General features: G+C 40.3%; 1 protein-coding gene across 6 annotated transcripts in view, besides 2 other annotated features; it reads right to left on the bottom strand.

The window, feature by feature from the left end:
• The window catches only part of MYO1D (myosin ID), a 384603-nt gene that overhangs the window by 313969 nt on the left and 51744 nt on the right, over positions 1 to 18890 (bottom strand). The window lies entirely within an intron of this gene.
• Positions 16010 to 16079: a silencer, noted in NCBI's record as "silent region_8428". NCBI's record gives its function as "represses an Ori minimal core promoter by ATAC-STARR-seq in GM12878 lymphoblastoid cells {active_cell/tissue: GM12878}" and the evidence as "EXISTENCE:reporter gene assay evidence [ECO:0000049][PMID:35858748]".
• Positions 16160 to 16369: a silencer, noted in NCBI's record as "silent region_8429". NCBI's record gives its function as "represses an Ori minimal core promoter by ATAC-STARR-seq in GM12878 lymphoblastoid cells {active_cell/tissue: GM12878}" and the evidence as "EXISTENCE:reporter gene assay evidence [ECO:0000049][PMID:35858748]".

Below are 18890 nucleotides of genomic sequence, written 5' to 3' on the forward strand. Positions count from 1 at the left end.
GTAGCTGGGGACTACAGGTGCATGCCAGCACGCCCAGCTGATCTTTTAAATTTTTAAAAAATTTTCACTAGAGACAAGGTCTCACTATGTTACCCAGACTGGCCTTGAACTCCTGAGCTGAAACAATCCTCCTGCCTCAGCCTCCCGAAGTGCAGGTATTACAGGTATAAGCCACCATGAATGGCCAAACCTCCACATTTTGAATATCTAAAGAGATTAATAATAAATCTTCCGAGTAAGGATTATGTCATCTGTTACTATGTTTTTATAGCTCCAAGGGTGTTTGGCTTTCCAAGGTGTTGCTAGTCTGTTCCTTGCTTGTTCACCATGAATGAATTACTTATTTCTTTGCCTGCCCTTTAGTTCCAGCATATTCAGGAAAGGAGTGGTGCAGAGTCAACAGTGAATGGCATTTCCTATTTTACAAAACTGGCAACACGTAAGCCTTAACTAAATAACATAGGATGTATAAATAAAAATGTAGGTGAATTTGGCAATTCTCTTTGGTCTATACATATTATATACACACATAAATAGGCTATAAGTTAATTTCACTTAAGGTGAAATAACAGTTGCACAACTCAGATTTCTCAAACTTGAATTTATTTTCATGGAGGATTTCACAAAGTCAATTTAAACCAGATTGGAAAAAAATCACAAAAATTAATACACAATAATCCTACTATTTTAATATGTATGAATAAAAGGTAAAGACTATACTATAGTGTTTAAAGCAGTTTAAACACTTTATTACAGTAAAAATTACAGTAAAAATATTTAAACAGGGTAACCTTAGTTCCACTCTCTAGAGGTTCCTATTGTTAACTTATATATTCTTCCATAAAACTTTATGTTCCTATACCCTATGTATATACATATTTAAAACAAAATTATATATAATATGTAAAATATACACTGTATCTTACGTGTCATATTAATATATCTTGTCTGTATGTGATATATATCATATAATCTGATCTACATGTTTTTCTCAATTAGGATGTCTTAAATACTAAAGGTAACATTAGCAGTAAATAGTAAAGCAGGCTTATATCCCAAACATTTCATCTGTTCTCCCACACTTCTGCGGGAGTTAGGCAAGGCCATGCTATTAGCTCTGCCCGGCAGGCTGTGGGATACACACACACTTCTGGGCCAAAGCACAGAAAAGCTGGTGTGCACATGCTTTGGTGACTGAGGAACCTCTGTGTTTGAGATGGCAGAGCCACAAGATCAAAGCAGCTTGCGTGCTCAGGGATTGCCTGGAGAGTCCCCTGGATTGACAGAAAAGTTTATGTGACTGAGAAATAAGCCTTCTTACATTAAAGCCACTGAGACTTTGGGGTTGTTTGTAACTCTAGCATAACCTACCCTATCTTAATCAGCAACCCTTTCACATTACCATATTTGCATACCTCATTTTCCTAAATAACAGCATAGATATGTTATAATTGAGATGTCAGCCCCTACTGATGTACTTTTAGGTTGCTCCTGCTTTTGTGGTTGCTATTGTTACTATAAACAATGTTATCATTAACATCACCTTACCCACAATTTTCCTAACCCAAACAAGCATTTCTGTGGGGGAAAATTTCTTCAAGTGAGAACTGATGGGTCATAGAATACTAAATTTGATGTTTTGGAAGGCCAAGGTGGGAGGACTGTTTGAGGTCAGGAGTTCAAGATCAGCCTGGGCAACATAGTAAAACCTTGTCTCCGCAAAAAAATTTAAAAATTACCCAGGCATGGTGGTGCATGCCTGTGGTCCTAGTTACTCAGGGGGCTGAGGCAGGAGGATTGCTTGAGCCCAGGAGTACGAGGCTGCAGTGAGATATGATCATGCCACTGCACTCCAGCTTGGATGAGAGCCTGTCTCTTTAAAAAAAAAAAAAAAAGTAAATTTGAAAGAAATATTTAAGTAATACGTCAATAATCAGAATTCAAAAGATATAAAAGGAATGCAGTAAAAGTTTTCCCTCACAGCTTATCCCAGAACTTCCAGTGCTTTTATCCGACTATAACCAATGCTATCGATTTCTAATGTATTCTGAGCACTATGAATGGAATATTTGTGTCCCACCCCCTGCCACGCCAAAATTCATACATTGAAATCTAACTCCTAATGTGATGGTATTTGGAGAGGGGGCCTTTGGGGTTAACCAGGTCATCAAGGGTAGAGCCCTCATGAATGAGACTAGTGCCCTTACAGGAAGAGGCCACAGAGCTAACATACTCTTTTTCCACCATGTAATAATACAATGAGAGGGTGGCAGTCTGCAACCCAGCAGAGGTCACTCACAAAAACTCAACTATGTCAGCACCCTAATATTGGACTTCCTGGCCTCCAGAACTGTCAGAAATAAATTTCTGCCATTTATAAGCTACCTACTTTATGATATTTTGTTAGAGCAGCCTGAAAGACTAAGACATTGAGAAATTTTGTATGCAAATTTTATGCCTTTAGGTATAGCCATACGTATATATGTAAACATGTGTACGTATACGTACATATAAATACACACATGCACACACATATGTATATTTAGGGTAGATTTGAGAGATATTTCTAAATTGTATCTCAAAGAAAATGCCTGCTCTCCCACACCCCCTCCTAGGGCTGTTTTTATTCATTTTTGTTTTTGATAAAAAAAAAAAAAAAAACTGTCACCCATCCTGGAGTGCAGTTGTGCAATCATAAGCTCACTGCAGCCCCAAATTCCTGAGCTCAAGCAATCATCCCACCTCAGCCTCCTGAGCTGCTAAGACTACAGGCATGTGTCACCACACCCAACTAAATTTTTTTGTTTTTTATTCTATAGACATGGGGGTCTTGTTATGTTGCCCAGGCTGGTCTTGCACTCCTGGCCTCAAGCAATCTTCCCCACTTGGCCTTCCAAAGTGTTGGAATTACAGGCATGAGCCACTGTATCTGGCCTAGGCCTTTTTTTTTTTTTTTTTCTTTTTCTGAGACAGAGTCTTGCTCTGTTGCCCAGGCTGGAGGGCAGTGGCGTGTTCTTGGCTCACTGCAGCCTCCACTTGCTGGGTTCACACGATTCTCACACCTCAGCTTCCCATATAGCTGGGATTACAGGCATGTGCCACTATGCCTGGCTGATTTTTGTATTTTTGGTAGAGACAGGGTTTTACCATGTTGGCCAAGCTGGTCTCAAACTCCTGGCCTCAATTAATCTGCCTGTCTTGGCCTCCCAAAGTGCTGGGATTATAGGTGTAAGCCACTGTGCCCAGCCATTGGGCTGTTTTTAAAATAAGGGGCACTCATGCAGAGTTTCTGTGCTCAGCAATAATAGCAACTGCTAATACTTGGACAGGCCTTTTGCATCATCTTATTAGAAGGGGTCCAACTATAATTGTCAGGTGAGCTAATAATCTATACAGTATTTGCAGTACAAATTCACAATGATCAATGATCTGCTTCTCTAAAGACAGGCAAAAACTAATTAATGCTTCCTCTATACCTAAAGGCAGTGGGAAAGGGCTAAGTAAAGGGTGAAGGGAAAAGGCCAGGACAAAGCAAAAGCAGTGGCATGCAGGTGACCTTGACAGGCATGAGCAGGAAGCAGCCAGGAGAATGATGTGGCTGAAAGGTGTACATGAACACTGGGGAGAAGTGGCAAAGGGGAGGAAGTAGTGGGTAGCCAGAGCCAGGAACCAATGTGACAAGGGACTATATATGAAGGGTGAGGAAGCTGCAGAGAAGAGCACCCAGACAGCAGACAGGGAGGCTGAGAAAGGGAGGAGAGAGTAGGTGGCAAGAGAAACAGAAGCGCAGATACAAAGAGTTCTAAGGGTGACCCTGAAGTTCAGAGTTCACAGACTCAGAAAAGGTACAGATGGTTGGGTGTCCTGTGTCAGAATGTGCTGGAGGATTTCCCCTGGTAATTTAGGTCTAAATAGCAAATGATTGAAAATTCCTGATCTCTGTTTCTCATGTTTATACTTTTGGGGAACCATAAGGTTAAGTCCGTAACTTTTTTTTTTTTTTTTGAGACAGAGTCTCGCTCTATTGCCCAGGCTGGAGTGCAATGGCGTGATCCTGGCTCACCGCAATCTCTGCCTCCTGGGTTCAAGGATTCTCCAGCCTCAGCCTCCCAAGTAGCTGGGATTACAGGCACCCACCACCATGCTCGGCTAATTTTTATATTTTTAGTAGAGACGGGGTTTCACCATGTTGGCCAGGCTGGTTTCGAACTCCTGACCTCAAGTGATCTGCCTGCCTCGGCCTCCCACAGTGCTGGGATTACAGGCGTGAGAAATCTAACTTTTAATATGCCTTTAAATAACTCTGTCCACTTATCACAATTTCCTCGGCTTAGGATAAATCTATTCTGTTTGAGGAGTTGTCTTTTTTTTTGGTAATTTAATATTTATGAGTCTTTTAAAAAGTAGATTAAATTATCTGGCCTTTTAAATTCTGAATTAATTTTAATGGGTTTAGGTTATTTGCCTTATGGCATTACACTGAAACCTTGGCAGACAGACAGCAATTGTAGCAACGGCTTCACCAAAAGTGAGTGTATTCCTTAAGAAGAGAGGGAGAAGGCTATCAGCCTGAGAGGCACCAAAGGATGAGGAAGACTTGAAAAAGACTGGGAGACACCATCAATAATGAAGAAAAGAGGAAGGAGCAGTTTCTGCTCTCAAAAGGGCATCTACATTTCCAGTTCAGACATTTCTTCCAACTGCCTATAGGATATTTCAACTAGGATGTCTCACTAGGCATCCCAGACTCAATGCATTTAAAACATAACTCAAGTAAACCTCTACCAGTCAAACCTACTCATCCTGTTGTCTTCCTCATCTCCATGAATGGCTATCCACTTAGCCAAAAAGAAACTGGAAGTCAAGTGAGGCCTTTCTTCCCCTCCCTATGTCCAGTCAATGAGGATGCATGCTGCATCTCCCAAATCCATCCCCGCTACTCCAGCCCCAATCCTTGGTCTGAGTTGATTTTCTACAGTACTTACTACCTAGTTTTCCCTAACTTCAATGTGACTACTAATTCTTCTTCATTTTTATATCTTTTACTTCTAATCATGAAATATTTCAAACCTTGTAGTAGACACTGTATGCCCTCTAGCCACATTTATCTCCCAACCCTCACCCTCTTTTTTTTTTTTTTTTTTTTTTTTTTGCCAGGAGGGCTCTGATGCTGCTCAGGTGTTCATCCCTCACCAAGCCATGTGTTCCAGAAATGGAATGCTATCCCCAGCTCCAAGAGAATGGATCTTGGTTAGTCTAAGGTAAAGCTGGGAATTCCAGTCCTCTTGTCATTGATGAGATTAGGAAGCTTTTCTTGGATCTGAGTAAAGATGTGGGGCAATCCTTTTTGAAAGCTGTCATATGCACGTGTTGCCTGAGTTTTCATCTTGAGTTGAGGAGAGCCAGTCTAAAAGGACAAGTCAAAATGCTGAGGAAATGGAAGGCACCTGGGTCCTTGAAAACATAACTGAGCAACTGAATTATCCAACCCAGGACCCATTCTACTACTACACTTCTTGTTATGGGAGAGAAATAACTTTCCTTGTAGTTTGTCACTTTTATTTGGGTTTTTCTATTACTACTTGTAGCCAACACATTCTGCTATAAAAAGAGATAAGCTTGCCTTAATAGGGAAGTTGATAAGTTTAGTTTTGAATTCTGAGTTTGAGTTTACTTTTCCAAATGGAAACAAGATCAAAGGATGGATGAGAGGACAGGAGTGCAGAAATTCAAGAATTGGTACAGAAGGGATATTGAGGGCTACACAGAAGTGGCTGAAGTCATCAGGTATGATTATGACTCAAAATGGCAAACAATTATTCAGTGTTTTTTATGTGCTAGGCACAATTTCAAATGTACTACAAGAATTATCTCTTTTATTCTCACAGTTCTAAGAGTTTCTCTTCCTATTTTACATATGGTAAAAAATGAGGACAAGAGAGGTCTAGTAACTTGCAAAAGGTTACAAAGGTCAGGGGTGATAGAGCCACAGTTCAAACCCAGCAGTCTGACAGCAGAGTAAATGCTCTTAACTCTTTATGTTGTGTTACCTACACTTAAGTTAGAGGAAGTCAGGATGAAACATGAGAGTAATAAGCCTTCCAAGTGAGGGAACTGGAGAGACAAGTAGAGTACCAGGTCAAGGGAAGGAGTACTGACCTTGAGATATAGCCTGTGGGGTTCTGGGTAGGACAACGGAGAGGACTGCAGAAGTTCCAGCAGACACTGGGCACCAACTTCACCTGCTGCACAGTTTTGCTTAGAAACAGCAGCATGTTATAACACATTCAGCTTCCTTGCCTTAACAAAGCACTAAGTCACTTACAAATAGGAAAATAATATTTATTGAGTACCTACAAAATGCCAAGCACTAGACTAGGTAGAGACTTTATATGTATAGGCCATTTAATTCTCACAATCACCTTAACCATAATGGCGACATTAACTTTTCATGAACAATTTTGCCAAGCAAATATAACTTATACACATGGAGTCATCCACACCCATCATCCAATCCATTGGCAAATCTTGTTAGTTCAATCTTCAACAACTATCCAGCATTCAATCATTTCTCCTATAAACGGTCTTCACTGATGATTTCCCAATATGTGAAAAGATACTCTGGCACTGACTTCAGTCTCTTCTTTATTATATCCTCAAATATCACTCTACAGACAAGTCTGAAAAAAGACTAGGTTCTTACACAACCTATTACTCATTCATCTAACAAATATTTTTTGTGCTAAGCAATACGCCAAGGGCTTAGATACAATGGTGATCAACATAACTATGGTCTGTGTTCCTCCAGACAGCCCAGTAGGGGATGCAGACAAGTAAAAGGAAAATGTAACAAAGGAGCTATTAGAGGAAATGCAGGGAGATATATTACAGTACAAATGAAAGGCAGTTAACCCAGACCTCAAGGACCGAGAAGGTGATCCCAGAAGTAACATCTAAGTTGAAAACTAAAGAATGGGTAGGAATTATTGAGGCGATGGGGTGGAGGAGGAGGAGTGGGAAAGAGTAGTGTGCCACATGGAGATCTCAGCAGGAACAGAGGCTGAGAGGCTTCAGAAAGAAAAAAGCATGTTTAAAGGATGGAAAGAAGTTCAGTAAGCCTGGAGCACAAGGCACAGAAAGGACAGTAACAGTAAAGGAAAGGAAAACTAGAGAAAAGAGAGGAGAATTAATTGCTGATGATGCAAGGGCCTTCCAAGTCATGTTAAGAAGTTCTGGCTACAGCATGGAAGTCTTAAGACTGGAGCTATGGAGACCAGTTAAGAGACAGCTGCGTCCATGGGATGCTTGATAGAAACCTACACTAGAGCATGGTGGTAGTCACACTCAAAAGATATTTAGGAGACTCAATTGACCTCATCTGGTGATTGATCAGATGGGAGTGGAGATGGTGAGGACAGACATGAATCAAGAATAACTAGATTTCTGCCATGGGCATTAGGTGGAAGGTTTAATACAAACTAGCTTTCACATGTTGGTAACTTTCTCGAGGCAGCAACACTTTTTAGAAAAGTGACCTGCCAGAGTTCAGGTCAGCCATCTAAAAAACACTTCTTGCCAGGAGTGGTGGCTCATGTCTGTAATCCCAGCACTCTGGGAGGCCGAGGTGGGCAGATCATGAGGTCAAGAGATCGAGACCATCCTGGTCAACATGGTAAAACCCTGTCTCCACTAAAATTACAAAAAATAGCTGGGTGTGGTGGTGTGCACCTGTAGTCCCAGCTACTCGGAAGGCTGAGGCAGGAGAATCACCTGAACCCGGGAGGCGGAGGTTGCAGTGAGCTGAGATCCCACAACTGCACTCCAGCCTGGCGACAGAGCAAGACTCCGTCTCAAGAAAACAAAAACAAAAACAAAAAACACTTCTGTGTTAACATTCTAAATTTATCCCTTCTTTTTTTCCTACTGCACTTATAAATAAGAGTAAATGCTCAATGAATTTGTAAGCACAGAAACCATATAAATGACCTTATAAAACGGTGTGAGAGGAAGAAGGATAATGAAGGGCCTCCTTAATCAGAGTAGCCATTTGTTGGCTGTTAAAAGAAGAGACATATAATTTGGAGTAATGAAAGCAAGAGAAAGAATTAGCAGACTGTTTTAAATGAAAACATGTCTCTTCTAAGCACGATGCATTACAAATAAGACAAATTAATCATTGTTGAAAATTTAAATATTCACACTGGAATTGCTGTATCATCTATTAGAAGTTGCCTAGAATAATGCTAATTGCAATTACAGATAAACTCCAAACTTTCAGTGGCTTTACACAAGAAGTTGATTTATTACCCATACATTAGTCCAATACAAACGTTTCTGTGGGGAGGGAGTAGGCCTTTGCTCCATGCAACTGTTCAGTGACATGTCCGACAAAAACGCTTCCATCTTCAACACATGACTTCAAGTTACGCTGCGCATCAACAGCCAGCCAACAAAAGTGGCAGAGAATGGAGAATCACTTGCGGGAGGCTTTTATGAGTTAGACCTAGAAGTGTCTAGACCTCAGAAATTCCACCAATGAGTACTCTGTCACATGACACGTAACTGCAAGGGAGGATGTGCCTCCAAAGAACAGGAAACACATTTTGCTGAATAATTAGCAGTCTGTTATGGATGGTAAAATACTGAAGACAAGATATATGACTTACTCACCTTTGCAGAGCTTAACAATATCTTGAAGAAAATAGGCGCTCAAGGCTCAAATATAATTCTGTTGAAAAAATACTTAATGAAAAAATTATCTCATAAGAGATCCATTTTGCTACATAAACTACTGCTAAAATACATAAACTGTAGGAAAAAAGATTTTCCAGCTCTTGACTTATAGAAGTTGCCCATTTCAACCTGGATTTTCCTTATTTACCAGGAAGACACCAAAAATATTGTGGTAGAAGAAATCATTCCAAACTTGTGGCTCAAGAATTGTGAGAACTATCTCTAAAGTATGGAAAAATATCAATGATAATGACTTAAATATTTTAAATTTTCATGTTAGTTCTTATTCTCTTAACTTTTTTAAAAGCATAGTTATTATGCTTAAGTCCAATCCTGGTCAGGCAGCCCTCTTCCCTCTCGTAGATTTGCCAATGAGAACAGGAGGCCTAAAGAGCACACGCTTTGGCAAAAGAAACAAACAAGAAAGCATGCTGGCTCTGAATTCCCTTGGCCTCAAAGTGACACATCACTCTGTGCAGAGTTCATTGGCCAATACCACAGGTTAGTCCTGTGGTCCCCACCTAACTGCAAGCTAGGTAGGAAATGTTGAGAAGGACAAGGTAAGTGATTACCGTCTCTGCCACACCTGTATAGACCACAAGCCCCAGTTTCTAGGTACATTTTCCTATGTAAATTTCGGGGTTGTATTCTCTCATACAAATTAGTTTCTTGTAAGTTTGTTTACTAGTATCAATAACTGAGAATCAAGAGGATAAAATTAAACTTCTGGGCTTATAAACAAATCCTTTATCCATGGTAACCTAGTAGCAACTAACTGATCTGAAAACCAGTGGGAAGTAGCCAGTTGATTCTTCTCAATATCTCTCAGCTACAATATCCTAAACAAGGAATCCATTCATCTATCAGTCAATAAATATTTATTGAGAATGTCTGTGGGTCTAGTGTGATGTTTAACACTGCATTAAGCGTCTGGGAGTGAAAAGGGCACATTTGGTTCCTGCCCTGATCAAACTTAGAGTCAAGTGAGGAACACAGTTTTAAAAAATTATCAACAATCATATTATTACAATCCAGACAAACAAGAGATATAGGAAGAGGTCACAGTGCTAACACTGTATTAAACATGAGACCTGACCAGGTTAGGAAAGGCTTCACTGAGACAAACGCAGGGCCCAGAAGGATACATAAGGGTTAGGCAGCTAAAGAGAGAAGGTTAATGTCCTAGACCAAGGGAAAGGTTGGAAACTTAGTCCAATGTTATTTACTTTTCGTCTTAAACTTTGAAATCATTTTAATAATTATTTTGGTTTCTCTCCACCTGATTGCTGTAGTACTATTAAAACTGAATTTTAAATAATTCTGTTTGATTCTAAACAGTCAAGTTTGCAATAGATTGCCATGTTTTAACAATATCTTCAAATTCTAGGCAAGGGAAAAAACATTTGCATATAATTTTTCTCTAAACATATTTATACTATGTATTTACAATTAGTAAATCCTGAGTTACTTCATTGTTTTTATATTAAGTGGTCTAAATCTAATAAATGGATGCACTCACCTCAACTGCAGATATTATGAAAAATTCCTGGATGTAGCATAAGTATGAGTTTAAAATTCAACATCAAAACCTTAATCCATTTTCATCACACACACAGGATTTAGTCTTTCTTCCAATATAATACAGTCCCTTTTTGAATTTTTTTAAATAATAAAAAAATTAGTGTTTTTAACTAAAGAAAAAGATGACAAGCGGTAAGAAATGCCACAGAATAAAAAGTTTTTGGTGAGGAAAAATTATGTAACTTAGGCAAGTAACTACTTGTACCTCAAATTTCTATTTAATGAGGTACTAGATGTATTGCTATAAATAAAATAAAAATAGTAATTATCTGCTAGCTACTTCACAGTGATTTTTAAATTTTTTTGTAGATACAGGGTCATGATATGTTGCCCAGGTTGGTCTTGAACTCCTGGCCTCAAGTGATTCTCCCACCTCGGCCTCTCAAAGTGTTAGGATTATAGGCATGAGCCACCATGCCTGGCTAACAGTAATGTTACAAGAATACATTAGCAATCTACAAATTTTATGCATTTCTAAAAAGATATGAAGACTGAAGACTGAAGACTGAAGCTTCTTTATGTTGCTGAGTAACAGGAAAACAACCACCAGATTATTTAATGGTTTAGCAACAAAAAACTTGGAACAAGAACATATTTGTACCTCTCTTAATTACAGTAATAAAATGCATATACATTCTATGCCTTTTGAAGGTAATATTTTACACTCATAAAATGACTGCAGTTTAAAAACTGGTTTTGTCAGCTAAACACAGGAGTTACCATTTTCAAGGAAAGTAATCCTTCCCAGCTATAAAAGCCTATACATTTATGACTTGTTTTCAGTTCAAAAACTCAAAATTAACCAAAATAAAAGGATCCAGTAGAGGTTGATGTTCCTCTTTCTTTGCTTTTTCTCTAAACTGTTTTCAAGTAGTATAGTAATAGCCAACACTCACTGAGCGTTACCATGCCAGGCACTGAGCTAAGTGGTTTACGTGCATTATCACATTTAATCTTCACAACAACCCTATATGGTATGCACTTTTAAAGAAATATCTTACTTTCCAGATAAAGAAATGGAGACTTTAAGAGGTAGTAGGGGCCGGGCGCGGTGGCTCACGCCTGTAATCCCAGCACTTTGGGAGGCCGAGGCGGGCGGATCACGAGGTCAGGAGATCGAGACCATCCCGGCTAAAACGGTGAAACCCCGTCTCTACTAAAAATACAAAAAATTAGCCGGGCGTAGTGGCGGGCGCCTGTAGTCCCAGCTACTTGGGAGGCTGAGGCAGGAGAATGGCGTGAACCCGGGAGGCGGAGCTTGCAGTGAGCCGAGATCCCGCCACTGCACTCCAGCCTGGGCGACAGAGCGAGACTCCGTCTCAAAAAAAAAAAAAAAAAAAAGAGGTAGTAGGTTCTTGCCCTACAAGTATTGTGAAAGAGTTGAGATTCACCTAAGCAGTCTACTTCTAGAGCCAGTGCTTTTAACCACACCTCTATCCTGCAAATAGTCTGTAAACAAGTCTTAGTGATGCTTCTGTTCAAACTGTGGATCGCTGCTGCCCCTGCAGTCTCTGACCATTCTTCCCAGCAATGCTGAGCTGTGGTCCCATGTGAAGGCCTCATTATGGAAGGAGGGTTGGCTAAGTATCCAATAGTAGCTCCAGCCCAGTGGGAAGGTACCACCACTTGAGATGACACTGCAACGGAGGCAGATGCTCGATGGACACATTCAAGACCCATTCGGCTCAAGGATCAAAAAAATGGGGCTTGCAAGTTCCCATTCTTCTTTTCTAGAAGAGCTGCTGAGAGAGAGACCAATGGGGGAAATAAAGTGAAAGCCTCACTCTTCTCTAGCCTAAGTTTTAGAGTCCAGTGAAGCATTGCAGCATAGGCTTTGTAGTCAGAAAACCCTGAGATCAAATCCTGGTTCTACCACTTGCTATAGCGATCTTGGGCAAGGGGTCAGATCTCTCTAAGCCTGTTTCCTCATCTGTAAGGAAGGGTATTATATCACATAAGGTTACTGTGAGGACTAAATTAGACTAAGTATGCAATAGGATACCAGGGTCCAGTTTTCTTTGGATGTAATGGGCCTGGAAAATTCCTTAAAATCCTTTTCACCTACAAAATCTTATGAAGTTCTGCCTCATTTTCTGCTTAAAAACTTTAAAAAATTAATAGAAATAAAAGAGAATTCTACTAGAGAGATAGGTTGACGTTACTTCTTCCTTGCTTTTTCCTTAAAGTGGAATGTTAAAAACTAGGATATGCCTGGAAAGTGTTCTATCTACAAAAAAGGAAGTTAGCAGCCGCTGAAAAGTAACTACAGATGGCTATTCACTTTACTCTGAAAGCATTTGCTGTTGATATAATCACACCACAGGAAAACATCATAATGTTGGCTGAAAGAAATCTGAAATGACACAGCAATAATGCTTCATCATGTAGAAGTTGGTTTCAAGTTTTTTTTTTTTTTTCGGTCTGGATAGTGTGATTGCAAGAAGGGAGGCTATGCTAGCTTGGTTATAAGCAGGGAAGTTGGCTGTGAGGAGATAAACAGAGATCTCACAGGAATTCTGGGGTAGAAATCACTGGACCGGAACTGAAGGGCTATCTCCCAGCTTCTGCTTCTGCCTTTTCATTCAGTCCATTCCCCTCCGTTTACTCAACAGTTCCCTCTGCTTTGGTGGCAGTTTCTGCTCCTTCTCAAGGCTGACTTGCACATGGCTCTGACTTGCTGTGGCCTCCTCTCCATCATTCTCTGCATCAGGTGCTTTCAACCTTGATTTTATTGTTTATATATACTTATGAACTTTTCTGCAGGGAATGTCCATACTTTCATCAGATGCTTCAGGAAAGCAATGACCCCAAAAAGGAATAAAAACCACTGTTCTATCTCATGACACTCTACCTTTAGTTTCTACTAGTAACTCTTTTAGTTATTCAGTTTCTTAATTCCAAATTCCTACCAGAATAATAATAATGGCTACCATTTATGAAGCTTTGAGTATGAGCCAGATACTGTTCTAAGGACTTAACTATTTTTAATTCTCAAAACCACATTATATAGGATCTAATATTACAGAGAAGGAAACTGAGGCATAGTGAACTTTGGGTAACCTGCTTAAGGTTACACAACTAGCAAGTGGCTAAGTCGGAATTTCAATCTAGACAACATGCATAGTACTTAAAACTGACTGAGTTAAACTTTGCAAATCAAGCCACAGGTTGTTGGTAAGCCCACAGGTTGGTCATCTTTGGATTATGTCTCATTCCAGATGTGGCAAGAGGGAGAGACGGGAGACAGGAATCAAGTGGTTCAAAACATGGTCACTGTTCAGTAAGGCCATAGAAGGGTAGTTTCTCTTTTAAAAAGTGAGAACAAGGATGCACAGAAATGGGAACTCTTGCACACTGTTGGTGGGAATGTAAACTGGTACAGCCATTATGGAAAACAGTATGTAGGTTCCTCAAAAAATTAAAAATAGAGCTACCATATGACCCAGCAATCCCACTTCTGGGTATATGTTCAAAGGAAAGAAAATCACCATCTTGAAGACAGATCTTCACCCCATGTTCACTGCAGCATATTCACATTAGTCTCAAGATACGAAAGAATCAAAGTGTCTGTTGACAAATGGATGGATAAAGAAAATGTGATATACACACATACACAGAAAATGGAATACTATTCAGTTTTAAAAAGCAAATCCTGCCATTTGTGACATGAATGATTAATGAACCTGGAGGATATTATGCTAAGTGAAATAAGCCAGACACAGAAAGACAAATACTACATGATTTCACTTACAATATGGAATCTAAAAAGTTGAACTCAAGGAAAAAGAAAGAATGGTTGTTATGAGGTCATAACCTCATACAATTATGACCATATGAGGGCATATATGGTCAAGGGATGGCGGACATGGAGAGATATTGGTCAAAGGGTAGAAACTTTCAGTTATAGAAAAATATTCTCACCATAAACACACAAAAGAGTAACTATATAAGGTGATGACTACGTTAATTAGCTTGACTGTGGTAATAATTACACAATGTATACCTATATCAAAACATCACATTGTATACTTTAAGTATATATATTTTTTCTGTTCATTCTTCCTACTTTTTCTTTAACTTTTATTTTAAGTTAAGGGGGTACATATGCAGGTTTGTTATATAGGTAAACTTTTGTGTTGGAGGTATGTTGTACAGATTATTTCATCACTCAGGTATTAAGCCTTGTACCCATTAGTTATTTTTCCTGATCCTCTCCCTCCTCTCACCTTCCACCCGCTGATAGGCCTCAGTGTGTGTTCCCCTCTGTGTGTCCATGTGTTCTCATCATTTAGCTCCCACTTATAAGTAAGAGCATGCAGTATTTGGTTTTCTGTTCCTGTGTTAGTCTGCTAAGGATAATGGCCTCCAGCTCCATCCATGGCCCTGCAAGGGACATGATCTCATTCTTTTTTATGACTGGATGCAAGTATATATAATTTTTGTTTGTCAATAAAACCTCCATTAAGCTGGGGGGAAAATGATGTAGGTGGTGGGCAGGAATAATTAGTCATTCATATCTCTAATATAACTATCACTTTCATTGTTTAACTTGTGGGAATATTCTTAAATCAACAAACTAAAATAAAGAAATGAATGAATACATATGTACATAAAATTTAATTTAGTTTTAGGAATTACAAATAAGGATGAAGTAATCCTTATTGTAGAGAAATAAGAGATGGCCAAGTGCCCTACAACTGCCAACCTTTGTCAGCTGAAGATAAGTAAATCACACATACACACACACACACACACACACACACATCTTTGACTGGAACTTCTCTATGGATCCAGGGAGATCTAGTCCTATATTTGAACTGAATTTCCATGGACAGATCTAAATTCAAACTACCAAATTCAAACTCGTCCATACTAGGGACTGGGGGGAAAAGTTTTTTCAGGGAAAAACTCCTTTTACTTATAAGCATAGGATTTTTGTTCAAAAAGTGAAAGAAAGAGACAAAATATGAATGCAGGGATTAGGTTGTGGACATCCTTTGGGGGTGATGGTGGGGCATAATTCTGCCAACCACAGGCAGCATTTTAAAATTAGTGGTTTTTAGGAAACAATAGGTGCTGGAGAGGATGTGGAGAAATAGGAACACTTTTACACTGTTGATGGGACTGTAAACTAGTTCAACCATTGTGGAAGTCAGTGTGGCCATTCCTCAGGGATCTAGAACTAGAAATACCATTTGACCCAGCCATCCCATTACTGGGTATATACCAAAAGGATTATAAATCATGCTGCTATAAAGACACATGCACACATATGTTTATTGTGGCACTATTCACAATAGCAAAGACTTGGAACCAACCCAAATGTCCAACAATGATAGACTGGATTAAGAAAATGTGGCACATATACATCATGGAATACCATGCAGCCATAAAAAAGGATGAGTTCATGTCCTTTGTAGGGACATGGATGAAGCTGGAAACCATCATTCTCAGCAAACTATCGCAAGGACAGAAAACCAAACACCGCATGTTCTCACTCATAGGTGGGAATTGAACAATGAGAACACTTGGACACAGGAAGGGGAACATCACACACTGGGGCCTGTTGTGGGGTAGGGGGAGGGGGGAGGGATAACGCGTCCAGCGCCGTCCGTCCGTTCGTCTTCCTCCCTCCCGGCCTCTCCCGCCGACCACGGGCAGTGGTGGGGGGCGGGGGGCGCGCGTCCCCGGTCGGCGCGCCGCTTCTTCGGTTCCCGCCTCCTCCCCGTTCACTGCCGGGGCGGCTCGGGACGGGGCCCGGGGAGCGTGGGTGGGAACCGCGGAGGCGGCCGCGCCGAGCCGGGCCCGTGGCCCGCCGGCCCCCGTCCCGGGGGGTGGCCGCGCGGGCCCCGGTGGGGCGGCCACCCGGGGTTCCGGCCCTCGCGCGTCCCTCCTCCTCTTTCCTCCGCACGGGTCGACCAGCAGACCGCGGGTGGCGGGCAGCAGGCGGCGAGGCCCGGGGCGTCCCCGCACCCGGCCGACCTCCGCTCGCGACCGCTCCTCAGTCGGGCCTCCGGGGTCGACCGGCTGCCGCCCGCGGGCGTGAGACTCAGCCGGCGTCTCGCATACCTAATGTAAATGACGAGTTAAGGGGTGCAGCACACCAACATGGCACATGTATACATATGTAACAAACCTGCACGTTGTGCACATGTACCCTAAAACTTAAAGTATAATAAAAATAAATAAATAAAATTAGTGGTTTTAACCATGACTTTTACTTGGTCTGGTAAAATTATCATGGTAAATATTCTTGTTTTATTTCCCACATTCAGGAAGGGGTGATCATGTGACCTAGTTCTGGACAATGAGATGTAAGTTGAGGGTTTCTAGTAAAGTTTTGCTTCCTCAGTATAGGCACCCCTTTTCCTCGTTTTCTTTCTGTCTAGAATGCTGATGAGAGGTTGGAGGTGGAGTAACTATCATATGACCACAAGACAAGCATGAGCACAAAAGTCACAAGCCAAGGATAGACTGAGTGAGCACCCAGGGTCAGGGCACTGATGACACTACGCAGCTACAAGATCAGCCCAACTACTAACCTCTGCAGCATTCATTTTATATACATATATATATAAAATATTTTACAGAGAAGGAAACTGAGGCATAGTGAACTTTGGGTAACTTGCCTAAGGTTACACAACTAGCAAGTGGCTAAGTCTGAATTTCAATCTAGACAACATGCATATAGTGCTTAAAACTGAGTTAAACTTTGCAAATCAAGCCACTGGTTGTTGGTAAGCCCACAGGTTGGTCATATATATCCCCAATTTGGCGAAATACACCTAGGAAAACTGATAATAGTAATATAAGTAATTAAAAATTGAGTGATCAAAGGGAGAGAGGGAATGTAAAGTTATAGTTATAAAAGTAACTACTAGGAAAAAACCTAATTTTAGATGTTCAAATTATCAAAAGGAAAACATAAAGCCAGGCAACACAAACACTGAACATCATGCAAAAACTATTTAAGAAGTACTAGGCTGGGTACGGTGGCTCATGCCTGTAATCCCAGCACTTTGGGAGGCTGAGGCGGGTGGATCAAGAGGTCAGGGGATCGAGACCATCCTGGCTAACATGGTGAAACCCTGTCTCTACTAAAAATATAAAAAATTAGCGGGGCGTGGTGGTGGGCACCTGTAGTCCCGGCTACTCAGGAGGCTGAGGCATGAGAATGGTGTGAACCCGGGAGGTGGAGCTTGCAGTGAGCCGAGATCAGGCCACTGCATTCCAGCCTGGGCGATAGAGCAAGACTCCGTCTCAAAAAAAAAAAAAAAAAAGAAGTACTAAAGGCAGAAAAATTACATAAAGTAAAACAGAACTGAGACCAAACATATCTGTCATGTCAATAAATTGTCATATAAAACCATTAAAAGCAAGACTCTCAGAATGATCACAAAGTAGAATCAAATTATATGCTGAACACAAGAGATTCATTTGGAACAAAACAACCCTGAAAGTTGGTAATAATTCTCCCAAAATTTAACTTATAAATTCAAAGCAACTGCACTCAATAGACTAATAAACTTTCATTTAGGAACTCGAAAAGTTGGCTTTAAAGTTCAATTTTTGCAAAATAAAGAACAGTAAAGAGATATTTGTCCTTTCACACAGCAAAGCATAGCATAATGGGTCAGCTATCCTAGTTATAGTACCCATAAAACTAACAGCTTACTGTTTGTCCAGAGTTTGGGGTTCTGTGCCAGGCACGTCCCCCAAATACTTTACACATAGTATCTCATTTAATCCTCACAACCCTGTTAAGGAGCAAATAATTACCCCTATTTGACAGATGACAAAATTAGGATTGAAGAAGACTGCATTACTGTCTGAGGTCCCCCGGCTTAGTAAGTGATGGCTCAGAATTGACCCAGGACCTCTTTCTTTGGAGCTGGTGCTCTGGTCTAACTTTCCATTTCTAGTAAATAGAAAACAAACCATATACAGAACATTATTATGGCATACTCTCATTATTATTTAATTTGAATGTATGTATGGGTATGCACAATTTCTCTCCCTTGCCTTCTCCCGCTCTTCCTCCCTCCCTCCTCTTATAGTAGCTGGCTGTCCAAATGCTTGCATGTCCTGGAAGGAGACACACTAAACTGCAATGTTTACTTTTGTGGAGTAGAATTCGTGGAGGAGAGGAAAGGGAGGAAATTTCATGTTTTACTTCATTTACTTCTGATTGTTTGACTGTTACTTGCATGTTTTTCTTTAGTAATGAAAAAATAAGGATAAAAAAGTAAGCTAAATTAAAAGTGATGAAAATATTAAAGAATAGCAGCATATCTTTGTTATCTCAACTGTGGCCTTTTGAAAATGTGATATTAGAAATAGTCGTTGAGCTTGTTTGGGTGTACAACATTTTCAAACTGAAATTAAGTACTACTACAACAAAAATTTCCATAATACATTACTTTATAAACACAGGGTATTTATTATTTCAGGATGATTTTTCATTTCTTTTTCTTTTTTCTTTATCTTATTTTATTTTATTTTTTTGACACAGTGTTTTGCTCCAATGTCTAGGCTGGAGTACAGTGGTGTGATCACAGCTCACTGCAGCCTTAACT

This window comes from Homo sapiens, chromosome 17 (genome assembly GCF_000001405.40).
Source record: "Homo sapiens chromosome 17, GRCh38.p14 Primary Assembly".
Taxonomy (NCBI): domain Eukaryota; kingdom Metazoa; phylum Chordata; class Mammalia; order Primates; family Hominidae; genus Homo; species Homo sapiens.